Raw genomic sequence first — 21,418 nt, 5'->3', positions numbered from 1 at the left:
TACATAAAGGTTGTGCCAGAATTGGAAAGTGCCCACAACCCTGTAATTTACATGTACTCTGGCTCCCTGCAGTGATACTCAGTTCAGGTTGTAGACTCCTTTAATAAAATATTCATTAAATGGAACAATTCTCTTCTGCGTAAAAATTTACAGGCTGGAATGGTCCTTATGAGGTGATTTGGTCCTTCCTCTGAAGCAGTTGTGTACTTTATTTTCTGCAATTGTTATTTAGGTGCTAGAAACCAAGACTTTTGTTTCCATCTTCTTCCTTGTTGGTTGAACCAGATTTCATTTGGGTATTTATAGGGTTTTCTTTGCTCTATTTGGGTAGCATGCCCATTTTGACTGGTTGGTCCATGCTCCATCCATTGTTCAGTATTTTGAAGATCATTCTCTAGTTGTTCATCCTCCATACAGCTATGTGCTCAAAGGAAGGTGCTCCTTCTCATTGCCAAAAGTGAATGGCAATTTGTCCAAGCCAAAGTGACCTCATTCCCCTTGCCAGTGATTGGCTTATGACTCTGTCTTCTGCATACAGCATATAGCTCCATCTTGGCCAATGATATGGGAGGGGAAGTCTAGTGAGAAAACTTCTCAAGTAAATGTCTTTCATCTTAAAAGAGAGACGCAAGGGACTTCACAATAAAGTTGGCAGATCAGATTAAATGATTAAATACATGTATTTACCACTGGTTCCTCTCAAAACACCACTAAAATAATAGTATTATTTCCTTTAAGGCATAAATTTGTAATAATGAGGAAAATAGGAGGGGAGAGAAGACCAAGAAAATTTTACAAAGTAGGAAGCATACAGACAAGTAGAACTGACTTGCAGACCCAAGAAAGCTGAATGAGCTGAATGTAAGCCCTCCGTGGAGAAAGCTGAGAAGCAACTCAATTTCACAAGAATGCACCAAAGTCAGCCAAAATGATGAGTACAGCACATAGGAAAGATAGAACGGAACTGTATCCCTGATGACATCACTGAGACAGCCTAAAACCGTGCTGGTCTCCACACTTCATGTTATGTGAGATAATAAATGTCCCTAGTTTACACTGCTTTCAGATGACTATTTTTATTTCTTGCAGCCCAAATCATCTAACTGATACAGACTCTCAAGTTCTTTAAGAAAAAATGGGAATAGGGTGCATGGCATGAGGTCTGGGAAGACACGAATTAAAGCAGGTCTCTCATTAGTCACATGAGCATTCTTGCTCATTTTTCTCTCTCCTGCGTCTATCCAACCTCCGCTTTCTAGTCATAATTTCCTCTGCTTGTTAATATTACCTGCTACTTTTTTCATTTTTATTTTTAATTTTTGTGGGTACATATTAGGTTTATGGGGTATATAATGCATATATTTATGGGGTGCATGAGATACTTTGATACGGGCATGCAATGCGTAATAATCACATCGTGGAAAATGGAGTACCCATCCCCTCAACTATTTATCCATTGTGTTACAAACAATCAGTTATACTCTTTTAGTTATTTATAAATGTACAATTAAATTATTGACTATAGTCACCCTGTTGTGTTATCAAATAGTAAGTAGGTCTTATGTCTTATTGTTTTTATTTTGTGTGTGTGTGTGTGTGTGTCCCTGCTACTTTTCTAAGCAAATGGCTAGAGACAACTCCCCTCTATTTCATGGCTTCCCTTCAACTTCAGCTCCCATTGTTAAAATACATTTTCTCTTAGAGTAATTTACTGAAAAAGTAAACAGGATAGGTGCAGTTCATTCTTTAATGTCAGGCTACATGGTGTCTCTGACCAGTTTTCTAATTGGTTTCCCGTCATTACAATTCCCATCCCTGGTCCAATCAGCACATGTTGTGGGGGAAAGAAAGGTGTATCAGGGTTGTGGTGATATAAAACTACTTCCCTAGACTCACCCACTGTGGGTAGGAAGGCGCCATTTCTTCTTAGAATAGGCTGTCGAACAGACTGACTTAACCTCAAAGAACTGGTTACTTTATTGAAACATCGAAAAAAGGAAGAATATACAAACTTCTTTAATGGCCCATTCCTTCTATGTTAACCTCACAGCAAAGGCATTTTAAAGCCTAAACCACAACTTCTTGCTACAACAATTTTCTCTTGTGGCCTCACTGAAAATGAGATACAGCAACTTCCTACAACTTCATAGTATCCATTCTGGAAATATTATACCCTTGGGTAATCTCATCTCCAGGCAAAAGAATTCCATTTCCTTACACTATCATTTTAAGGACTAAGGAAGAAAATATCTCACTTATCACATTTATACAACTTATCTCCACAGAATGAATGCATAGATTAGTTTTTGTTCAACAGTAATGAAAGGCACTATGCAAATACCAAGGGCAATATTTTAAGTTATGGCATTTTTATTCACAGAGTATGTATTGAATATAATTTAAGGATGCAAAATCTTTTGTCCTTGCATTGATCATAAAATACAAGGTCATTTCCTGTGGGGGGGCCAGAAATTTATGATGGATGATAGAATAATGTATTAGTATACATACAGATATACAGTACATTATAGAGAAATATGCCTGGATAGAATTAATGTGCCTTTAAGTGTGCATAAACTTTACAGTAGCTTAATGCATATGTATCCATTTCTAGATAAAGCTAATGTGCCATTTGTGTACATATGTACACACACGTACACACACAGAGATTTAAGTGTGTATGTATGTGTGTACATATGCTGAGAGAGAAAAAGAAAGAATGTGGCATGTCTTTACAGACATAAAGACTTAATGTATACTACAGACACATTCACATTATAATGTATCTTTAATACAATTTTTTGGGGGGGACAGGGTCTCACTCTGTTGCCTAGGCTGGAGTGCAGTGGCATGATCATAGCTCACTGTAGCCTCGACTTCCAGGCTCAAGCAATCATCTCACCTCCAAATAGCTGGGACTATAGGCATGCACCACTATGCCAGGCTAATTTTTGTATTTTTTGTAGAGACAGGGTTTCACCATGTTGCCCAGACTGGTCTTAAACTCCTCAAGTGTTCCACCTGTCTCACCCTCCTAAAGTGCTAGGACTACAGGCATGAGCCACCACTATTGGCCTTTTAATACATATTTTAATGTGCCTTTAATTCTAACCCTATGGCAGCCCAGCAAAAATATAAAATTGGCCTAGCAAGTTAGGCTTCTTCAAGTATAGGAATTTTCTCATTAGTAGCCTATATGTTCAGTCTATGGTCAGTAAAAGCTCACGTTTCTTGAGTACTTACCAAATGCTAGAAATGGTGCTACAGGATTTTCATTTCATTTAAGGATGAACCAAGGAAGATAGTCTCTATACAAACATGGTCAAATCTTCTTACATGTTCTTCTCACATTTTGTCTTTCCTCACCATTCAAGCTGCCATCATCCCAGGCAGACCTGGTCACCTTACACCTGGGCTTGGCAATTGCTTTGTTCTTCTATCTTCTTTTCTCCAGCATTTTCCTCTGCCACTTCTTCCTTTTCTACAATAAATGCTTTATGGGATCTCCTTCCATCAGCCTGTGAGTTTTGAGAGGCAGAAATTATCTTCCTCCCTACAGTTCTCCCCAGTTTCATCACAAGAGACAGCGTTGGTGGGAGGCCCAGAGGGAAATCACTGCGAGAACATTACCTGGGCAAACTAAATTCTACCTTTCCCACTCCGTGTATTCTTGGATAAACTGTGGCAAGCTTCATCAACTGGGAAATGGCACAGGTAAGCAGATGACCTCTTAACTTTATATGTCAACTTAACTGGGGTAAGAGACGCCCAGATAGCTGGCAACACATTATTTATGGGTGTATCTCTGAGGGTGTTTCCAGAAGAGATTAGCATCTGAATTGGTAGACTAGGTAAAGAAGATCACACTCACCTATGTGGGTGGGCATTATCCATTCCATTGAGGGCCCACATAAAACAAAAAGGCAGAATCAGGACAAATTATCTCTTTCTTTAGCTGGGACATCCATCTTCTCCTGCCCTTGGACAGCTCCTTGTTCTCAGGCCTTCAGACTCTAGGACTGACTAACATCAGCCACCACCCCAACCAACCACCCTAGTTCTCAGGCCTTTGGACTTAGACTGGGAGTTACATCATCGGTTCTTTGGTTCTTAGGCCTCTGTACTTAAAACTGAATTATACCACTGGCTTTTATTGGTTCTCTAGTCAGCCCTCTGTATCTGTGGGTTCCAAATCTGTAGATTCAACCAATTGCAAACCAAAAATATTCAGAAAAAAATGGATGGTTGCATCTGTACTGAACATATACAGACTTTTGTCACATCATTATTCCCTAAGCAATACAATATTAGATAGTCAGTAATCTAGAGATGACTTAAAGTATATGGGAGGATTATGTGGGTTATATGCAGATTCTACATAATTTCACATAAAGGACTTGAGCATCTTCAGATTTTGGTATCCACTAGAGGGTCCTGAAACCAATACCCCACAGATACCAAGGGATGACTACACACACATACATACACACACACACACACACACACACACCACCACCACATAGTACATATTGGTTCTGTTTCTCTGGAGAACGTTGGCTAATACAGATTTTGGTATTGAGATTGGCTCTGGAGAAACAGATTTTCAAAAGTGAGGGTTTTTTAAAAAAAAAATCATTCTGCAGTTTCTGAAATTGGCTTTCTAATCTGACACAGTTTAAAGATGATAATGATTCCTTTTCCAGTAGTAAAGAGGCAAACAGTTCGTGGCACAAACTGTAGATATATACAAAATATGGATATTCCTAATCAAACACTTCTAAGATGCAAGGAGCTTAGTAACTCTGTATATATTAGCTTTGAACACTTTTGGAAAACTAAGGAATATGACACTGAATCACTGGAAAAAGTAGTTTACAAAAAAAAAAATGAGCTAAGGGATTCAAATTCCCACCTCAAGTGCTACATAAATGACCTAAGAGCTTATAGGTGTGCCCTGAGGGACAGCATTATCTCCTGCAGTGCAGGGCTAAAATTGCTGAAAATCAAATGTAGGATCTCATCCTGTAATTGGCTGAATTACAACACAAGTGAAACTCTCAGCCTCACAAGGTATATACTGTAAAGTGAGGACACTGTGAAAAAATGGGATCTTGCAAGTTGGGATGGGGGTATGTGGGAAGACTCTAAAGAAGCTGGGGACACTGAGTCCCTAAACTGTGATTATCTATTTTGGCAGTGAAAGAAGTCTCCCCACCCTCAGTAGAGCTTAGGTCCCACCCCCAGAGTAGTTGGTCTCCCTAATCCCAGCAAAAGTGGCATCCCTAATACCAGCAGAAATGACCCCCTACTCCCAGTGTCAACAGCATCCCCACCTCCAGTAGGAGCCATCTCCTCATTCACATTGGTCTGAGTCATTTACCTCCATCTGAAGGGATTAGCCCTGCATTGCCTGAGGAATGGCCTCCTCTGAGGCAGCTGCCATGCAAGACACTGCTGATTCTCCACAAGAGCTACCTCCAACACTCCTCTTTTCTTCTAGACAAATAACTAGACTCAAGACCCTAGCAGGCCCTTAAAGGGGAAGTACAAAGTGTGGCCCATGAGGAGGCATGCTATATTCCAAAAGAACTACCTAACCTTTCTAATTTATACAAGCAGAAATCTAGGAAACATGTCTGGGAATTGATATTAAGGGTGTGGGATAATGAAGGAAGGAACATAATGTTGGATCAGGTCAAATTTATTGATGTGGGCCCACTAAGCAGAGATTCTGCATTTAATATTACAGCTTGGGAGTTAAGGCTCTAATAATGTGGTTGATTGGTTGGCTGAAACACAATCAAAAGATGGCCCATTGTAAGCAAATTGGAAATGTCGGCTCTCCCTAGGTTTAATGTAGAGGAAGGGATTCACAGGCTTAGGGAGATTAGAAAGAGTGGATTTATAATTTATGATATATTCCCCAACACTGAGAAGATCTAGAAGACACACTTTTATCAATACTTTAAGAAATAAATTACTAAAGGAAGCCCCAGTATTCTTGAAGAACTCTGTGATTACTCTTTGTAGGCCAGACCTTATAGTGGGAACCACAGCCACTTAATTGGAAAATCTAAATGCAATGGGAGTAATTGGATCCAGAGTGGTGAGGCCAAGTGGCAGCATTCCACTGCCAAAGGCGAGGTGGGCGTAGTTACTGTGTTGGGTGGCAGAGTCAAAGCAGCAATTAGAATAGTCTGACTCACACAGATCTGTGGCGTGGGCTAGTTAATCATGGTGTTCCTAGAAGTGAAATAGATAGAAAGCCTATTAAATTTTTACTTGATCTGTATAAACAGAAAAGTTCCAGGTCAAATGAACCAAAGTTTAAATTGAATCATAAAATTAGAGAGTCAGAGCCCCTCAATCAATTTTCAGACTTGAGCCAGTTTACAGACCCAGAAGCCCTCAAATGAAAATTTATACTGTGAATCTTTCTCCCAGCTTTCTCCGAAAGGACCTACAGAATTTTAGCAGGGTAACTGTGCACCAGGGTAAAACATATAATCAGACCTTTGGGGGACTACTGAACACTAGATTTGAACTGACACTGATTCCAGGAAACCCAAAATGTCACTGTAGCCTCTCATTCAGAGGAGGGGCTTATATAGGTCAGGTGATCAATGGAAGTTTTAGCTCAAGTTCATCTCACAATAGGTGTCAGAATCCATCCTGTAGTTATTTCCCAGTTCCAGAAGAAATAATTGGAATGACATACTTAGCCACTGGCAGAATCTCCACATTGGTTCCTTGACTTGTGGACTGGGGGCTATGATGAAGAGGGCCAAGGAGAAGCAGTTCCTAGAATTGCTTCCACCTCAAAAAATAGTAAATAAAAAGCAATACTGCATTCCTGGAGGGACTGCAGAGATTAGTGCTACCGTTAAGGACTTGAAAGATGCAGGGGTGGCGATTCCCATCACATTCCCATTCAACACTCCTATTTGGTCTATGCAGAAGACAGATGGAGCTTGGAGAATAACAGTGGATTATGGTAAGCTTAACCAAGTGGTGACTACAATTGCAGCTGCTGTACTAGATTTAGTTTCACTGCTTGAGCAAAGTAACACACCCCTTGGTACCTGGTATGTAGCTATCATCTGGCAGATGCCCCCTTCTCCATCTCTGTCAATAAGGCCCACCAGAAGCAGTTTTCTTTCAGCTGGCAAGGCCAGCAATACACCTTCATTTTCCTACCTCAGGGTTATATTAACTCTCCAGTTATATGTCATAATTTAGACAATGTCAAGCACACAGGGATCTTGATCACCTTCCCCTTCCACAAGACATCATACTGGTTCATTACGTTGATGACATTATGCTGATTGGACCTAGTGAGCAAAAAGTAGCAACCGCTTTAGATTTGATTGGTAATCATTTACGTGTTACAGGGTGGGATATAAATCCAATTAAAGTTTAGGTGTGATCTATCTACCTCAGTTAAATTTCTAGGGGTCTATGGTGTGGGCATGTTGAAATAGCCCTTCCAAGGAGAAGGCTAAGTTGTTGCACCTGGCCTCTAACCAAAAAAAAAAAAGGCACAATGGCTAGCGGGCCTATGTGGATTTTGGAGGCAATGCATTTCTTATTTAAGCATGTTATTCTGGCCCATTTACCAACTGACTCAAAAAAAACTACTAGTTTTGAGTAGGTCCCAGAACAGGAAAAGGCTCTGCAACAGATCCAGGAGACTACGTAAGCTGCTCTGCCACTTAGGCCATATGATCCAGCAGATCCAATGGTACTTGAGGTGTCAATGGCAGACAGGGATGCTGTTTAGATCCTTTGGCAAGCTCCCATAGGTGAATTGCAGTTTAAGCCTTCAGGATTTTAGAGCAAAGCTATGCCATCATCTGCAGGTAATGATTCTTCTTTTGAGAGACAGCTCTGGGCCTGCTACTGGGCTTTAGTGGAAACTGAATACTTGACCAGGAGTCAACAAGTTACTACGCAACCTGAGCTGCCTATCATGAACTGGGTATTATCTGACCCATCAAATCATAAAATTGGGCATGCACAGCAACACTCTATCATCAAGTGGAAGTGGTATATATGTAATTGGGCCCAAGCAAGCCCTGAAGACACAAAGAAGTCACATCAAGTGATCCATGGTCCTCATTCCTGCTACTGCCTTCTCTTCTTCCAGCTGCACCCATGGCTCCATGGGGAGTTCCCCACAGTCAGTTGACAGAGGAAGTGAAGACTTGGCTATGGTTTACAGATGGTTCTGTGTGATATACAGGCACTACCCAAGAGTGGACAGCTGTAGCACTATAACATCTCTCTGGGACATCTCTGAAAGGCAGTGTTGAAGGGATATTCTCCCAGTGGGCAGAATTTCAGGCAGTGCACTTGGTTGTGCACTTTGCTTAAAAGGAAAAATGTCCAGACATGTGATTATATACTGATTGAAGAACTATAGTCAATGGTTTGGCTGGATGGTCAGGAACTTGGAAGGTACATAATTAGAAAATTGGTGACAAGAAATTTGGGGAAGAGATATATGGATAGATCTCTTTGAGCAAAAAATATGAAGATATTTGTAGCCCACAAGAATGCTCACCAAAAGGTGACTTCGGCCAAAGGGTATTTTAATAGTCAAGTGAATAGGATGACCTGTTCTGTGGATACTAATCAGCCTCTTTCCCTTGCTACTCCTGTCATCACGCAGTGGGCTCATGAACAAAGTGGCCATGGTGGCAGGGATGGAGGTCATGAATGAACTTAGCAACATGGACTTCCGCTCACCTAGGCTGACCTTGTTATGGCCAGTGCTAAGTGCCTAATGTGTCAGCAGCAGGGACCAACACAGAGCCTCCAGTATGGCACCATTCTCCAGGGTAATTAGCCAGCTACCTGGTGGCAGATTCATTACACTGACCACTTCTACCATGGAAGGAGCAGCATTTTGTCCTTACTGGAATAGACAACAGTGCATATGGATTTTCCTTCCCTGCACACAAAACTACTGTCCATGGATTTACAAAATGCCTTATCCACCATCATGGTATTCTACCAGGCATTACTTCTGATCACAGCAAAAGAATTGCAGCAATGGGCCCACACTCAGGGAATTCACTGGTGTTACCTTGTTCCCTACCATCCTGAAGCAGCTGTCTTGATAAAATGGTGGAATGGCCTTTTGAGACTCACGTTACAGCTCCAGCTAGGTGCAGTGCTTGGGCATGGTCCTCCATAAGGCTCCATATACTTTGAATCAGCAACCAATATATGGTGCTGTTTCTCCCATAGCCAGAATCACAGGTCCAGGAATCAAGGGGTGAACATGGTTGTGGCAACATTCACTATTATCCCTGGAGACACACTGGCAAAATTTTTGCTTCTTGTTTCCATGACTTTATGCTCTACTGGCCTAGAGGTCATAGTTCTAGAGGGAAGACTGCTTCCACCAGGAGATACAACAATGACTCCATTGAACTGGAAGTTAAGACTGCCACCCAACCATGTTGGGCTCCTAATGCCTCTATGTCAATAAGCAAAGAAGGGAGTTACAGTGTTGGCTGGAGTGATTGATCCAAACCACCAAAATTGAACTACTCCTAAACAATGGAGGTAAAGAAGAGTATGTGTGGAATACAGATTTCTTAAAGAGTTTCTGAGTATTGCCATGTCCTGTGATTAAGGTCAATAGGAACTACAACAACCCAGTCCAGGCAAAACTATGAATGGCCCAGACCCTTCAAGAATAAAGGTTTGGGTCACCTTTATCCTGTGGTAAAGAACCACAACCAGCTGAGGTGCTTGCTGAAAGCAGTGAGAATACAGAATGGTAGTAGAAGAAGGTCCTTATAAATATCAGCTTACAACCATGTAACCAGTTACAGAAATGAGAACTGTAATTGTCCTGCATATATTCTCCTTCTGTTATAAATATATTTGTGCATGTGTGTATGTGTAAAGAAAATATCTTTGTATTCTTTCCTATTCCCTTATCATAGTAACAAAAGATATATTGACTTTACATCCATATTTAAATGGTGTTAATTTTACATCATAGTATTTAAGTTACAGGATTCCAGGAGAAGAGAAAACATCACTCAAGAATTTTACCTCCTCTTTGAGGGAAGGGATTAGTGTGTTTTTGGTTGTACACAGGTTAGTTGTATGATGTTACATGGGATTTTGACCTTGTTATTGTATTTACTTGGAGATTAAGTATGGTTTAAAGAGATATGCATAAGTGCGGACTTGACAAGGGGTTAGTGAACTTGTGATGATTAATTTTATGTGTTAACTTGATTGGGCTAAAGGATGCCAAGATAGTTGGTAAAACATTATTTCTGGGTGTGTCTGTGAGAGTGTTTCCAGAAGAGATTAGCATTTGAATTGATAGGGTAAGAATAATCACTTTCACTAATTCTTACCTCACAGGATAAGAATAATCACCCCCATTAAGGTTCCCAATCTGTTGAGGGCACACATAGAACTAAAAGGTGGAGAAAGGAAGAATTTGCCCTCTTCTTGAGCTGGGATATCCATTTTCTCCTGCCCTTCGACATCAGAGCGCCTGGTTCTCAGGTCTTCAGACTCCAGGACTAGCATCAGCCACCTCATCCTGGTTCTCAGGCCTTTGGACATGGACCAAACTGCACCACTGGCGTTTCTGGTTCTCCAGTTTGCAAAGAAACAATCATGGATCTTCTGGGCCTCCAATTAGTTCTGGTTCTCTGGAGAATCCTGACTAATACAATCACCAAGGCTCATCTTCAGCCATCGATTTTTCCCTTTCCGAAGTTCAACCAGTCTCCACTATTAGAGATGACAGTGATGTGGGAGGTGAGGCTTCAGAATGACTCCTCCAGCTGTCACCAGAGGCCCAGCTCCTTCTAGGTGCATCTTTCCCTTGGAAAGAGGTGTCATAGGGGCTTTCTGGTTCAGTTCAGTTTGGGAACAAACCTATCAAAACACCAAAACAACTAGGAAATATACTCAAGGAATGAGACTTTTTTTTTTCCTTTTAGTCCATGAAGTTACTAGGATCAACCACACCTCACCTACTCTTTCACAAGGGATAATGATATATCTTCAAACAGTGTAGTCTTGAATTCATCTCATCTTTAGCTTCTTGGTTGATCTGAACTCCCATCAACTTGAAGGAGAAGTGAGTCTGCTCACTTTTGTGGTTTACATCGAATGCCCAATTAATTAATATTATTGTGTTCTCCAGGTCTAACAACACATGTTGAAAGACACTTTTTTGGAAAATGTAAATGTTATTCCACCATGTCACAACAGTCCAGTTCTTCCACATGATACTTAAATTAAACATTTTAAAACAGAATATATAAATTTGCCAGCCCACCTCCTTGCCTATTTCACCAATTCTTTAATTACAGAGATTGATTTAACTTCAGGAGATGGAGGTTTGAAAGGAGGGAAAAAAACGAACTGCACAGCTCATAGCAGCTGTTCCTCATTATAACACATTAAAGAAGAAAGCAACCTATTAGTTCAGAACAACTGCAAAAACCAATCACAGAGCATAAAATTTCATCTTCCTCTACCTTTGTCAAATTAAGCCAGTTGTTCCAGACTCCACTTCCTAAATCAAAGTCATACATTGAAGAAGGACTTACCTATGGTTACTTTCACACAAAAATCAACAGTGTTTTTATAAGCCTATTTTATTTATGGAATCTATTCACACAGGTAGCATATGCAAAATGGTGTCAGTTACTTTAAACATATGAAGTGGGCAGCTCCACAGAGTAGTATTTTAATATAAATCTTTAGAGTTCTATAACTGCTTTTAATTTAATAGCATTTTTCTCTTTATAAAAATAATTCATGCTTAGTATAGAAAATCTGAAAAATAATATGAGGCCTAAGGAAGAGTATAAAAATCATCACATTTCTCATGCTATTTCTTTATAATGCATATTACTATTTTGGAATATATTCATTTGGTCTTTTTTCTATTCAAATGGATTTTTTTCAAAGAAGTATATCTCCCCATACTTGAATAATATCTTTCTTTTCTCTTTATGAATTGCATGCATGTTATATGCATTAAATTCTTCTCTTACATTATTTTTAATGGCTAGAAAGTAGACCTCTAAATGGATGTACCATGCTTGAAAGAAAAATCTCTTCTTATTGCACATTTATAATGCGTCTGATTTTTATTATTAAAAGTATTATTGTAATGACTCAAGATTGATACATTTTTGCATGCATCCATGACCATTTCCTCCTGCTCTATTACCCAGGATGGATATGCTGGGTCAGAGTTTACAAAGTTTTAATACTCCCAAAGTTATTCACAGAAGATTCATTAAGTCAAGAATTTTGTTATAAGAGCTAAAAATGTTGTGCCAACTTGAATTTTATTTTTATTATTATTTTTTGAGATGGAGTCTCACTCTGTCACCCAGGCTGGAGTGCAGTGGTAGGATCTCAGCTCACTGCAACCTCTGCTTCCCAGGTTCAGGTGATTCCCATGCCTCAGTCTCCGAAGTAGCTGGGATTACAGGCATGCGTCACCAAGCCTGGCTGATTTTTGTATTTTTAGTAGAGATGGTGTTTTACCATGTTGGCCAGGCTGGTCTCGAACTCCTGACCTAAAGTGATCTGCCCACCTCGGCCTCCCAAAGTGCTGGGATTACAGGCATGAGCCACCATGCCCGGCCTGGTTTTTTAAAATCTTAAATTTTTATAGCGTAAACTGAAGACAATTACTTCTAGAGAGTCTAACTTAAATGCTCTGGAATGAGACCCAGGCCAGGCACATACTTTTTTTGTTTTTGTTTTTGTTTTTGTTTGTTTGTTTTAAGTTTACTGCTGATTTTGCATGCAGCCGGGGTTTAAGACCACTGGGCCTTGTTAGTGAGTTTTCTGGTCTACCCTGGAATTTTACTTCCAGGGAAGAGGTAACTGAATTACAAGCCCATAAAAAAATTTTTTTAATGACTGGAGGAGAAATTTTTCTGAGAGGTGCAACTGTGAGTCCTCATAAATGAATTTTATAGAATATCTTTTGCCCATATGTATCTGTGTATAGGCATAAATATACTAAATATCTAAGTTGCAGCAATGATTGATGAAAGGAATATAAACAGCACCCCCTGTGCCATTGCCTCTTTACTTTGGAATCCAAGAGTAAATCTACAATAAACAAACAAGTTAGACATTTTTTCACCTATGTTTTCATCTTTATTTTAAAATAACTTTGTAAAGGAATGGATAAAATAAGAAGCATTGGAAACATGGTATCCAGCAGCATAAATTCCCAGGGGCAGGAAGATGTGATTCTACTACTTCCTCTTTCTAAGCTTCAGTAATCTCTCAGAACATTATAATCCCCTCATCCTCCTAAAGAAACCTGATCAGCAGTTTGCTCATGCTGCTCTCTGTTTCCAGGTCCCTTTTGCAACAGCAACTGCCATCTCCTCTCCTCACACAGACACAGTCAGCTGTGTACATTGATGCCACTTGACAAATAATGCCTCCACTCCCACCCACCAGCCCCCTGGTGTAGTGTGCCTATCCATTTATATCTTTAGTAGTGCTTCATCATTTATCCCATTTGAGCTCAGGCTTTGCATTCAACTCTAAATATCTCTGCAATTCCCATCGAGGGGCCTAGTCATGCCAGCTGAAGCCACACAAAGATCAATTTACAAAAGACAGGAACTATTTCTGTCTGAAAATGTTGGCTTGCCGTGTCCTTGGCCATTTCCTAAAGAATAGAACCACATTTCTAATTAATCATAAAATTAAAATCTAATATGAAGTATTTTGTTTAATAAGTCTGGCACTGCACTAGGTATATTGTATATCTTTTGTACTCACAAGGAACCCATTTTACAGAGGGGGAAACTGAGTCTTAAAGAGGTCAAGATACTTTTTTAAGGTTACACACCCCATAAGTAACTGAATGAACTCAAGCAGACATCCACCCACCGAACCTGAGCATGAACATGCTTATTCACTGTGCTTCTAAACTTAGTCTTGCTTTAAAGGCCATCCACTCTTCCTCTCCAATTCATCTTGGAGGCAAACTCCAGCCATATTGTCCTATTCCATGTTCCCTCAAAACACTAACTGGAAGTATGGTAAAGAAACTGCCTGTCTCATTAGAGCAAACCAAGAATCCTTTAGAGTTTTAGCAAAGAATTCTAGAAGAATAATCCCCAGGTAGGGAGAGAGTCAAATATCTGTTAATATGTACCTATCTACCCCAATATTTTTCTGCCAAAGGTCTTGTTTTGTTTTCAAAAGGCAATCTATTTCCTAATACCTCTTCTTCCTTTACACAACCATTTGCAATCATACCCTCTGCACACTGAATTTGTTGCCAGCTACTGCCTAGGTAGGTACTTTCTCTTTTCTCATAAATATCTGATTCAAGGCCAGGTGCGGTGGCTCATGCCTGTAATCCCAACACTTTGGGAAGCTGAGGTGGGCAGATCACTTGAGGTCAGGAGTTCGAGACCAGCCTCGCCAACATGGTGAAACTCAGTCTCTACTATAAATACAAAAACTAGCTGGGCATGGTGGCGCATGCCTGTAATCCCAGCTACTCAGGAGGCTGAGGCACAAGGATCACTTGAACCCGGGAAGCAGAGGTTTCAGTGAGCTGAGATCTTACCACTGCACTCCAGCCTGGGTGACAGAGCAAGACTCTGTCTCAAAAAAAAAAAAAAAAAAATCTGATTCAACAAACTACATGAATACATTTAGAAATGGACTAGCCATGTAGTTATGAGTATCTTCTGCATGTGTACTATATTTGTGGTGGAGAGTAGCTTATGTAAAGGGAAAAATTGGGGAACTAGCAAAATATGGCAATGGGAGAGGAGGGAGGCAGATTAAGCATGTCCTTGGGCCAAGTTATTTCCTTCCTAAGTCTCAGCTTCTTTATCTTTAAAATGAGAAGGTTGGGTTAAATAAATTCAGTTCTTATTTCTTGTACATGTTTGTATACCTTTCACCATCTGCAACACTGTAGGTACTCAGCTAGTGTTGAACTGACTTATTAATTTTGAGTACTACCAAAAAAAAAAAAAGATTATGTCTAAAGCTTAAGTCCAGGCCACTATTACTTGGCTTTAAGTTTTGCCAGAAATGCAAAATTTCACTAAAATTCTTACTTAGCTTGGCCTAATGATTTGACATAAGAGTAATCTTCCCACCAAAACTTTATTCAAGAATCCAAATACAGGTAAGCCAAAGCTTTATGAGGGCACTTCCTTACCTCTCATGTATTTCTAAAGCTATGTCCCTAAGATTCTTGCCCCCACATCAACCCTAAAAGTGCTTTTGCAACATTACCGATGACCTTCTAGAGCAGGGGTCCCCAACCACTGGGACACTGACAGATACTGGTCCATGGCCTGTTAAAAATTGAGATGCACAGCATGAGGTGAGCAGTGGGCCAGCGAGCATTACTGCCTGAGCTCTGCCTCCTGTCAGATCAGCTGGGCATTAGATTCTCATAGGAGTGTGAACTCTATTGTGAAATGTGCATGTGGGAGATCTAGGTTGTCCATTCCTTCTGAGAATCTAAATAATGCCTGATGATCTGAGGCAGAACAGTTTCATCCCCAAACCATCCCATCCCCTCACCTCCATGAAAAAATTATATTCCACAAAACCGGTCCTTGGTGCCAAAAAGGTTGAGAACTGCTGTTCTATTGGACAAACACACTGAGACTTTTCAAACCTCATCTTACTCAACTTCTCCATGCCATTGGAGAGTGCTGCCTCTTCTTTCTCAACTTTCTTGGCCTCTGATATGTGTCCCCATCCAAATCTCATCTTGAATTATAGTTCCTATAATCCCCACGTCTGGTGGGAGGGGCCCGGTTGGAGGTAATTTAGTCATAGGGGCAGCTTCTCCATGGTATTCTCCTGAAAGTAAGTTCTCAGGAGATCTGATGGTTTTATAAGGGTATCCCCCATTGCTTGGCTCTCATTCTTCTCCTTCCTGCTACCATGTGAAGAAGGATGTGTTTGCTTCCTTTTCTGCTATGATTGTAAGTTTCCACAGGCCTCCCCAGCCCTGTGGAACTGTGAGTCAATTAAACCTCTTTCCTTTATAATTTACCCAGTCTCGGGTAGTTCTTCATAGCAGTGTGAGAATGAACTATTATAGCCTCCATGGCCTTTTTCTTTTCTTCAATGCCCTGTTTCTCCTCCTACACTCATGAGTTCCTTTATGAGTTCCTTTTCTCATTTTCCCTCAAATATTAGTATCCTTGAGTTCTATTCTCAGTTTTTTTTCTCGCCCTATGTATTCTCTTTCATCTACATCTACATCTCTTACTTTCTAAATAAAATTCCCCACCCTTACTTGAATTTTAGATACATCTATAACAAATATCTCTACCAGAAATATTCCACATATACCTTAATGCATAAATCATCCCACAAAATCATTATATTTCACCCAAAGTTTTTCCAACTTCATTAGTGTGTATAAGTATATAAACTAATCAACTTTCTTTCTCCCTCTTTCTCTCTCTGTCTCTCTGCTGGTGATAGATGAATACAGACAACCCAGGGAGCAAATGAAACCAAAATTTGGAAAGTCTGATTTTAAGACACAAATCAAGTTCTTCAGCACCAAAAGTTCAAGTAAATATTTTATTTTTAGATTACCATACAATGTAACTGATGTTTTTGTGTCCAGTTTTAGAGTTTAACACATATATAGGTTTCTGTAACTACCTCCACAATAATGATACAGAAGAGTTCCATATAACCAAAAGATAAATTCTCTTGTTATCCCTTTTGTAGTCATATCCTCTCTCTATTCCTAATCCCTGGAAATGACTGATCTTTTCCCTATCATTACAGTTCTGTCTTTTAGAAAATGGCATATGAATGGAACTAATTATACGTATGCAGCCTCATGAAACTGGCTTCTTCCAACTACTATAATACCTTTCAGAATCATCCAAGTTGTTTTGTAAACAAATAGTTTGTTCCTTTTATTGCTGAGTAGTATTCCGTTGGATAAATGTAACAGAGATTGTTTATACATTCACTTGTTGAAAGACATTTAGGTATTTCCATTTTGGGTGATTATGAATAGAGCTGCTATAAACATTCATGTACAGGTTTTTGTGTGAACATGTTTTCATTTATTTAAGGCAAGTACCTAGAAATGGGACTGCTGGGTCATATGGAAAGTGTTTGTTTAGTTTTACAAGAGACTGCCAAACTGTTATCCAGAGTGGCTGTTTTTCATTTTGCTACCAGCAATGTATACAAGTTCCAGTTGCTCCACATCCCTACCAGCCCTTGTCAATATTTTTTTATTTCAGCTATTCTAATAGATGTGCCATGGTACCTCATGGTGGTTTTAACTTTCATTTTCTGAATAGCAAATTAACATTTGTTAATTTGCTTATTTGCATTCCTTTTGCCCAAATTGTTTGTCATATTTTAGTTCCTTTGTCTTTCACATAACCTATTTTTATTTTCTACTTTTCAACAGTTTTATTGAACTATCACTGACATGAAAAAATAGCATATATTTAAGGTATACAACTTGATGTTCTGATATATGTATACATTGCGAAATAATGACCACATTCCCCATAATGAACACATCTATTACCTCTACAGTTACTATTTGTGTATGTGTATAGTGAGGAGATTTAAGATCTATCTTCTTAGCAGATTGCAAGTATACAATACAGTATTTTTAACTATTGTCCCTATGCTATACGGTCTTTTCATATAAATTCCAGAATCAGCTTTATATACCTACAAAAAGTCCTGTTGGGATTTTGATTTGAATTGAGTTGAATCTATGAATCAATTTGAGGAGAACTAAATCTTTACTATATTGAGACTTCTAGTTGATGAACGCAGTACTTTCTTTAATGTGGGTAGTTTATTTTCTTATGGTTGGGTTATGAGAGTTTTTTTGTGTTCCAGATACAAGTCCTTTATTGGATATGTGATTTGCAAATATTTTATCCCAGTCTGTAGCCTGTCTTTTCATTCTTATACAGTGTCTTTGATAGAGCAAAAGTTTTCATTTTGTTGAAATCCAATACATAAATCTTTTCTTTCATGATTGTGCTCTTGGTATCATGTCTAATAACTCTTTGTCTAACTCTGGGCCAGTTTTTCTCCTAAATTTTTTCCTTTAAATTTGTATAATTTTGTATTTTACATGTAAATCTTTTAGTTAATTCTTATGTAAGATTTGAAATTAAGATGAAGGTTCATTTTTTTGCCCATGATTGTCTGGCTGTTCCAACACCATTTGTTGAATGGCTATCATTCCTTTATGAAATTGCTTTTGCAACTTTCTGAAAAATAACTAGAATATATTTGTGTGGGTCTGCTTCTGGCTTCTCTGTTCCACTGATCTATGTCTATCCTTTTGCCAATATCACACTGAATTGATTGCTACAGCTTTATATTAAATCTTAAAATCTGATAGTGTGATTTCTCCAACTTTACTAGTCTGCTTCAAAATTGTTTTGGTTATTACAGTTCCCTTGACTTTCCATATAAATTTTAGAATCAGCTTGTCTGGATCTGTAAAAATACTCCTGAGGTTTGCTTGGAATTGCATTAAATCTATAGATCAATTTGTGCAGAGTTACATATTTTCTTTTCTTTCTTTTTTTTTTTTTGAGACTGAGTTTCGCTCTTGTTGTCCAGGCTGGAGTGAAATGGCACAGTCTCAGCTCACTGCAACCTCTGCCTCCCGGGTTCAAGTGATTCTCCTGCCTCAGCCTCCGTAGCTGGGATTACAGGCATGAGCCACCATGCCTGGCTAATTTTGTATTTTTAGTAGAGACAGGGTTTCTCTATGTTGGTCAGGGTGGTCTCGAACTCCCGAGCTCAGGTGATCCATCCGCCTCAGCCTCCCAAAGTGCTGGGATTACAGGCATGAGCCACTGCGCCCAGCTGAGTTACATTTTTTCTATGTTAATTCTTTCAATCCATAAAACTGTGTATCTCTCCATTTATTTAGGTCTTTTTTGCTTTATTTCACTAAGTTTTTGTAATTTTCAGCATACAGACCCTGTTCATGCTTTGTTTCACTTACACCTATGTGTTTCATTTTTTGGAGCTAATGTAAATTTTTTAAAAATGTTTAGTTGCCAATTATTCATTGCTAGTATAAAGAAATACATTTGATTCTTGTGTGTTGAACCCTGTACCCTGTAATCTCATTAAACTCACTTTTTAGTACTTGGAATTTGCTTATGAATTCCTTGAAATTTTTGGCATAGACAATCATATCATCTGAAAATCTGCATGCCTTTTATTTAATTTCCTAACTTTATTAACTGGATAGGGCACCCAGTAAAATGTTTGTTGAATGATGGGAGTAGATATCTGTATTAGTCTGTTCTCATGCTGCTAATAAAAACATACCCAAGACTGGGTAATTTATAAAGGAAAGAAGTTTAATTGACTCACAGTTCTGCAGGGCTGAGGAGGCCTCAGGAAATTTACAATCATGGCACAAGGGGAAGCAAACACATCCTTCTTCATACAAGGGCAGGAAGGAGAAGTGCTGAGCAAAAGGGAAAAAATCGCCATATAAAACCATCAGATCTCATGAGAACTCACTCCCTATCACAAGAACAACATGAGGGTAAACACCTCCATGATTAAATTACCTCCCACTGGGTCCCTCCCATGATACATGGGGATTATGGGAACTACAATTCAAGGTGAGATTTAGGTGGGGACACAGAGACAAAAAGTATCAATATCCTTGCCTTATTCCTAAATTGAGGGAAAAAGCATTCATCTTTCACCATTAAGTATAATGTTAGCTTTTCTGTATGCCTTTTATTAGGTTGAGAAAGTTTTTATTTCTAGTTTGCAGAGAGTCTTTATCACGAATGAATGTTGAATTTTGTCAAATACTTTTCCTGCAACAATTGATATGATCATGTGATTTTTCTTCTTTAGACTGTTAATATGGTGTACTACAATGAAAAATTTTCCAGTATTGAGCCAGTCTTATATTCCCCCTACAATCTCTACTTGGTCATGGTGTATTATTATTGTTTTTATATGTTTAAGAATTCAGCTGGTTAATATTTTACTGAAGATTTTTACATTTATGTTAATTAGGTATATTTGGTTGTGTTTAAAAGATTTTTTTCTTACGCTGTCTTTTGCATCAGGGTAATGCTGGCCTCATAAATTGAGAGTGTTCTCTTCTTATTTCTGGAAGAGATTGTATGGAATTGGTATTAATTTTCCACAAATAATTGGTAGAATTTGCCAGTGTAACCATCTGAGCTAGAAGGTTGCTTTTTTGGAAACTTTTAACTGAAAGTTCAGTTCACTAATATAATTTTAATTTAATTTCATCTAGGTTTTCAAATCTATGTCTATAGAGTTGTTCTTAGTATTCCTTTATTATCTGTTTAGTGTTTATGGGATCTGTAATGATACCCCCTCTTTCATTCTTGATATTAATAATTTATGGCTTATCTCTTTTTTTGGTCAGTTTTGCTAATGTCATTAATGTCAAAAAATCAGCTTTTGTTTTTATTTATTTTTTTCTATTGTTTTTCTGGTTTTAATTTAATTGCTCTCTGCTCTTGTCTTTGTTATATTCTTCCATCTGCTTGTTTGGGTTTATTTTAGTTTTATTTTTCTAGTTGTTTAAAGTGAAGGGTTTGAGGACTTTCTTCTTTTCTCAGGTAACCATTTAATGTTATCAATTTTTTTAATTTTTGCAAAAAACTTTGTGTGGTAGAAAAAATACTCAGACCTGTGAGTTAAGGGTGCAACAGATTTACATTTGCATGTAAGATAAGATATGTGCGACATAATGAACCCATGAACTTATTTGAGAGACGGGGATAAAATGATCCCAAATGTGAAAGCTCTAGACAGCCTAGTGCAGAATTAATCACAGAGTGATAATAGGCAAGAGTTTTCAGAAAGCAAAGAACAGGCAACACATTCTCTGTACAGGGTGGGAAGCTCTTCCGCAAGGCTCTAGACCTCTTCTACTAAAAGGCATCTGATGGTCCTGTGTACACTAGCATTCTTTAGTCCTACCTGCTCCGACTTTCATGTTTCTTCTACTAGGAAATACTGATAAAGATTGTCAGTGTGTTGATGGTATACTTTTTACAATATACTCATTTGTACCCAACGTGATTCACTCAATAAATGTTTTTTGTGGTTGCTATCATCTTTGTTTTTTAAAAAGTTATTATTTCTAATTATTATGGAAATATAGTAGTTGTACATACTCAATAAATAATAAATATTTATGATGTCCTTGAGGCCACTAAATAATTATTTTAAGTCCCGTATTTTAATGAATTTATAGTTCCCTTAGGTAGAAGCACAATATACACAAATGAAATCTATATTAATCTCTAATAGCTATCCTTTAATTTAAATATACTATGCACCAGACGTTGTATATGCTGGGTATGTTACATAC

General features: G+C 38.6%; 1 long non-coding RNA gene across 5 annotated transcripts in view; it reads right to left on the bottom strand.

Moving 5' to 3' along the window:
* BDNF-AS (BDNF antisense RNA) overlaps positions 1-21,418 on the bottom strand; it is a 191,320-nt gene that overhangs the window by 138,639 nt on the left and 31,263 nt on the right. For all 5 annotated transcript variants that reach the window (NR_033312.1, NR_033315.1, NR_033313.1 and 2 more), the window contains exon 2: positions 19,417-19,513. This is a non-coding gene — a long non-coding RNA (BDNF antisense RNA). The remainder of the gene's footprint in view (positions 1-19,416; positions 19,514-21,418) is intronic.

The sequence above is a fragment of the Homo sapiens genome, chromosome 11 (assembly GCF_000001405.40).
Source record: "Homo sapiens chromosome 11, GRCh38.p14 Primary Assembly".
NCBI lineage: Eukaryota > Metazoa > Chordata > Mammalia > Primates > Hominidae > Homo > Homo sapiens.
Note: the sequence above shows the minus strand (reverse complement) of the source record. Positions and strands in the feature narration are given on the sequence as shown.